Consider the following 6,780-nt stretch of genomic DNA (forward strand, 5'->3'; position numbering starts at 1 on the left):
CACGCTTCTCAATTTTGTATGACTAGCTTGCCTCTAAGAAAAACTGAACAAAAACAACTAAGAAAGTAAATCTATAAGCCAGTCTTATGAATGTAGATGAAAAACTGCTAAAAGACAAATTAGCCAAGCCAATCCATTGGCATATTTTTAAAAATAATAGTAATGTACCATCACCAAATAGAATTTACTAAGGGATGCAGAGAAAGTCAAATAATAGAAAATCTGCTACTATAATTCACAGACTAAAGGCAAAATTGTTACCTTAATAAATGTTCAAAAGCATTTATTTCTTAAGTTCGGTATATGTTTAACATTAAAAAAAGCAAACTTTGAAAAATAGTGTATACCAAAACCACTAGCAATAAGCTACAAAATAATAAACATTTTTACAATTTTGGAATTTCAAAATTGCAGTAAGTAAGAAGGTGTCAGATGATTCTATTACATGGCTTTGAAACCATTTATGAAGAACCCCTTTCTTAGGAAAATAGGATTGACTACATTAATCCTATTCACTAGACTTTAGGATGAACATTGAGAAAGTGTACAGGTGTCTGAGAGGTGCTGCCTATCAATTGCCCAGGGCCCATGTTGCTACTCCAGAAATCAGCAGTGTCTGTGAGTGACAGGAGAAGGGAGAAAACGGAGGGAGACCAAGCCAGGAGGAAGACCCTGGCAGCACTACCCCAGCCACTGGAAGTTTAGGAATCCCCATCCTGCTGTTCCCTTTTCTGTTTTCTTTCTCTCCCTTTCCCCTCCCTTCCCTTCCCTGCCCTTTCCACCTGGGAAGAGCAGCATGCTAAATTATCCTCATTCGGCAGTCATAAAACACAAAGGCTCTGGGAAATATATAATAAATGAATCTTCCTGACTTTTTTTAAGCCCACATTTCTCCAAATGACTTGGTCATGGAACACTTTTTTGTCATTGTTGTTCTTCAGAATTTCTTATTATTTCTGGTAAGAGCCTTGTTCCATGGAATATGAGTTTGGGAAACATTGTCTTAGCACACAGAAAATTTTTGTTGACAAAACATGTTGAAGACTCAGCCACAGACCAAACATCAGAGTTCCGTGATGTTCTGACTGACATGCTCCCACAAGGGGCTACCATAGTCATGGGCTGGACCTTGCCACCTCTGAAACCCTCAGCTGTAATGCCTAAATTTCTGAGCAGAGGCTCTTATTCCTTCACATTTCTCACCTCTTTTCTTCTCCTTCTGCTACTCCCGCTGTTCAGCTTGGATTCTTACAATGTCTACCCCAAGTTTTCTTGAAGTATGGCCCTCAGACCACCTGACTCATGGATTAAAAAGGCAATTTGCTGGAATCCACTCATGAACTAACCTTTCCTGGGAGGGGACTTATTCATCTACATTTTAGTAAGCTTCCCTGGGGAATTCTGTGGTTCCTACCATCTGAGACCCCCTCCTCCAATTTCCGCCCACCCATCATCTCCCTGTTGTGGTTTCCCTTCCTTTCCAGCTAGCCTGACCCCGTGGGGGCATTGGTTTCCTCACTTCTCTGTCCACATTCTCAACCAGAACCCCTTCAGCAGACTGTCCTCCGATGCCACACCAGCAAGCCACCACACTGACTGAAGGCTGATAACCTTCTCAGCTCTACAACGAAGGTGCCAGCCAACACTCCACTCCAGGAGAGTAGCAGACACCGCTACAGCGCTGGTGTGACAAAGTTAGGATCTCCAATCACAGCTTGTTCCTTTGCATCTTTTGCAATTGCTGATCAGCTCCATCCCTTATTCTGGACATTGATTATTCCAAAATTTCAACCACTAATATCAAGGCCTTATGCTCATCCTTCTCACCTCTCTGGTGTCTCTGATACCATCTTCTGCCTCACTGAGGATTTCTGGGCTATTCGACATCTACACCCTAAACATTTTTTTCCTTTACTTAAATGTGCCTTTACAACTCTACTTCTGTCCTGCTTCAAGGATAATCCCCCTAGCATTGAGCCTAATTCCATCCCCTTCCATCTGCTGTGATTTCAGGTTTTATCTTAGATTCATCCCATTCTTTGTCATATTTTTAGAATTTGCTGCTCTATTAGCCCAATCCTCAATCTTCCCTATGTCAAACACACACACACACCCCCTAAAACAAGCAAACAAAAACTACCTCCCCTCGTCCATGTCTCTTCTCCCATTCACAATAAAGTTCTTTAAAACAGAAGAAAATATTTATAAAGACCTATACAACCCTTTATAGAAAACAAAATGGAAAAATTCGAGGAAATTTACATTTAAATAAGAAAAAACAATCACTAAATTCATAACCCAAATGCCTTTTATTTTGCCTGTGTATTTATTTTGAGATCATATTGTTTTTTTTTTTTTTTTGAGACGGAGTCTCGCTCTGTCGCCCAGGCCGGATTGCGGACTGCAGTGGCGCAATCTCGGCTCACTGCAAGCTCCGCTTCCCGGGTTCACGCCATTCTCCTGCCTCAGCCTCCCGAGTAGCTGGGACTACAGGCGCCCGCCACCGCGCCCGGCTAATTTTTTGTATTTTTAGTAGAGACGGGGTTTCACCTTGTTAGCCAGGATGGTCTCGATCTCCTGACCTCATGATCCACCCGCCTCGGCCTCCCAAAGTGCTGGGATTACAGGCGTGAGCCACCGCGCCCGGCCGAGATCATATTGTTTTTAATAATTTTTAATCAAAACATATATTTTTAAAACTACATTATTTTAATGCCTGAAAAAGTCTATGAAATGTGTATAACAATTTCATTTAGTAATTCTTCCTTGACTGGGCGTGGTGGCTCACCAGGGCGGGTGGATCACTTGAAGTCAGGAGTTTGAGACCAGCCTGGCCAACATGGTGAAACCTGGTCTCTACTAAAAATACAAAAATTAGCTGGCCATGGTGGCACACTCCCATAATCCTAGCTACTCAGGACTCTGAGGCAGGAGAATTGCTTGAATTTGGGAGGTGGAGGTTGCAGTGAGCAAGATCGCACCACTGCACTCCAGCCTGGGCAACACAGTGAGACTCTGTCTCAAAAAACAAAACAAAATAACAACAACAAAAGACATTATTTCTTTATTGAACATGTACTTTCTTGCAATTTCTTGCAAGTATAAATAACATTGTAATTTACCCCAAACATAAATCTTTGTTTATATCTATAATTTATTTCTTATGATTGTTTCCTAGGAGTGGAATTCTGGGTCCCAATATGAACTTATTCAAAGTTCTTACAGGCTACCAAAATTTGTTCCAGAATTTGTGTACACCTTGATAATTTAATATCCACTTATTAGAGTATCCATTGTGTTTGAATATTATGATTCTTTACAAATATAACATGGCTAGCTTGGTAATTGTTGTTACTATTACAATTGTGACTGCTATTAAAACTGTGGTCATTATACCCTTCAGTCATTTATGATCTATAGGAAAATTCTAGATTTAAGAATAATAAAAATAAATTCATGGAAATTCCATGGATGACCATATTCAGCCTTTCTTCTTGCTTCTGAGAACCTTATAGTCACACTGACACTCTTAGAAAGTGTATCAAAGCAGACAACATTAATTTATTGCACTGTTAACCCTACCAAATCCAATTTAAACTGTCATTATTTTTTCTTTACTCTTTCTTTGGCTTTTAAATTATTTTGTTTTGCTATACCATGTGTAACTTCAAAAATCATCCGAAGTTTAATTTTGGAATCAGATTAAATTAATATCAAATTTGAGGTATTGCACATTCAGCCCTTTGCTATATTTCTTTATCTTAAACTCTTTTCTTGATTTCAATACTTCTTATCTTCTCGATCCCTGCTCTGCACAAGAAATTGTATTCGAAGAGCTTCGTTAATGATCAAAAATGGTATTTTCAGATTAGTCTATATTTTCTTCTAGGCTTTCGTCATTGTTAAACTAAACCGTTAATCTATTTGGAATATATTTTGCCTTGATATGTAAGAGGATAATCTTATTTCTGCTTCTTCCCAAAATCACTCTTTTGGCTCACATGATTATTAAATTATCCACCTTTCTCTCTTTGATTGGTGATCCTTCCTGTAATTTATACTAAGATCAAGATATGCATATATATCCTTTTCATCAATTATAATACTTCCTAGGGAATCCTCACCACATTATTCCTTAAAAACTAACAACAGAAGTTATTTGTGCTTTATTATTATTCAAGTTTAACTTTAGATTCAATTGGCCACTCATATTTATATGATTTTATGGGTGTATATACTTACAAATACAGTTACCAGTATTTTAGTTCCATTAAAATAATACTCTGTAAATTTTGAGGAATAGCATTAAATTAGTGTTTTTTTAACTTTAGTCATTAAATCACTGTCTTCTTGGCAAATCTATGTCCAAACTGTACAGTTACTTAATGTTTTAATAATACATGTAAATGAATTGTGTGACTTAAAAGAGGAATAAGAGAGAAAATGGAAGAAAAGAATTTCTGTATTAAGTGCACAGCCAGCTCTTCCACACCTGATCTTTCCACTGGTGACAAACTTAGTCTCTTCCCTTTACTTAAAACTTCTTACACTTCTTGGAATGATTTATCACTGTGGACTTGCTGTTGTTGAGCCCAGAGAGAACTCATAATGCGGTCATCTCTGACTCCTGGGTGCCTTTCAGTTTAGATCATCTGAAACCAGAATTCGCCATAATCCTTCCTTTTTTTTTTTTTTTTTTTTTTTTTTTTTTTGAGATGGAGTCTCACTCTGTTGCCAGGCTGGAGTGCAGTGGTGTGATCTTGGCTCACTGCAACCTCCGCCTTCCAGGTTCAAGTGATTCTCATGCCTCAGCCTCCCAAGTAGCTGGGACTACAAGCACGCACCACCATGCTCAGCTAGTATTTGTATTTTTAGTAGAGACAGGGTTTCACCATGTTGGCCAGGATGGTCTCGATTTCTTGACCTCATGATCTGCCTGCCTCGGCCTCCCAAAGTGCTGGGATTACAGGCGTGAGCCACCGCCCATAGGCCATTATTATAACACCTTTTATATAGTGTTAGATGTCTGATCAATGTTTTATTGGATGTTAGGTGTCTGATCAGTGTTTTATTGGATCACGTGTTGTTGAATTTTGAGGCCTATTGCTTTCATATTGTAGCTTCATATTAGCACTGAGAAAGGGAGGTTTTCTTCTGTGTTGCCTTTAAACTCATGCATTTGCAGCTGTCAAAGGAAGCATGGCACACTGTTATCTAGGGCAGGAGCTTACCATCCAGGATCCATCAGCTTCAACCCACAAGAGCAAAATTAACTGGAATTCTGTCCAGGAATTCCTTCCACTTTAAAACGGAGTAGAAGCAAGGTCAATATAGATGACATACGTTTTCTTATTATTATGTAATTATTGTAGGGAATAAATATTTAAGATACCTTTTAAAGATATGTAGAAAAAGAAAAAGATATTCTTAACACCCAATGATTAGTCACTATTATAATTTCCTCAGATCATATATCTCTTTAACTACAATTAATCTGCTATTTTACTTGCCCTCTAAGTTTTTTATTTCAGTCATTAGAATTTTTATTCTGCTTTATTTTCATTTTGCTTTTTATTTTCTGTAGGGTATAGAAATTCTATTTTCTTCCCTCTTTTCTTTTCTCATAGTGTCACATCTTTTCCTCATATTTCTTATATCATTTAAAAACCTACTTATTTAATGGTCTCTTTCATTTATCTCAAATTCTTGAGGTTCTAATGCTCCACTCTGCCATGTCCACTCACTCCTCCTCTGGCAGATTATTTCCCTGCATTGTTTGTAATACTTTTAAATTAGTTCATTTTGTGTGTGTGTGCAGTTACAGAAAACAGAAACATTACAGAAAACATTTGTGTTTTTTACAGCGAGGCATTGCAACAGTAACACTTATCTGGGATGGGTTTTTATATCAATTTCTTCTAAATTACAGTGAAAATGAACATTTGGATTTCACCCCTGCATTGGTTTCCTGGGGCTGCCATAACAACGTACCACAATTTGGGTGGCTTACAGCAACAGAAATGTATTCTGTCTCAGTTCTGGAGGCGAGAGGTCTGAAATCAAGTGATAAGTAGGGTCATGCCCCCACTGCGGGCTCTAGGGAAGAATCCACACTTGCCTCTGCATGGCTTCTGGTGGTTGGTGGCAATCCTTGGCATTCTTTGGCCTGTAGCTGCTTCATTGCAACCTCTGCCTCCATTGTCATGTGGCTTTCTTCCCTTGTGTCTATGTGTGTCCCTCCTCTTCTACAAAGACACTGGTCATTGGATTCGATGTCCATACTAATCCAGCATGACCTCATCTCAACTTGATTACATCTGCACCAACTCTGTTTCCAAATAAGGTCACATTCACACATACCAAGCACTAGAACTTCAACATATCATTTTGGGGAGCACAATTCAACCCACAGTCACACTCACACAGGTGATACTATGCTTGGGAGAGGTGAGGTTTCATGTTGCTTCTCTGGGTCGGTGAACAGGCTTTTTCTGGTGTTCATTGTATTTATTTCATTCCATGGTATGTTTCTGTTTACTTTAGTCTAAATTCCAAGTTACTAGCCCCTTGCTCGGGAAAGGCGAAGAGGTATGCCAACCTAACCAAAATTTATAATAATTATTCTGATTCCATAATGGGAGCATCAGTGAAACCTTGGGGATTTCATCCTTGTAGAAATAAATGTGCTTAAGTAGGGTCTATGTACATCTGGAAGTGCCTCTTACAAGGTGACACTCAGAAAATACTAAATTTTTGTTGGTTTGTCCTAAGCTGTGAAGG

The sequence above is a fragment of the Homo sapiens genome, chromosome 7, assembly GCF_000001405.40.
Source record: "Homo sapiens chromosome 7, GRCh38.p14 Primary Assembly".
Lineage (NCBI taxonomy): Eukaryota > Metazoa > Chordata > Mammalia > Primates > Hominidae > Homo > Homo sapiens.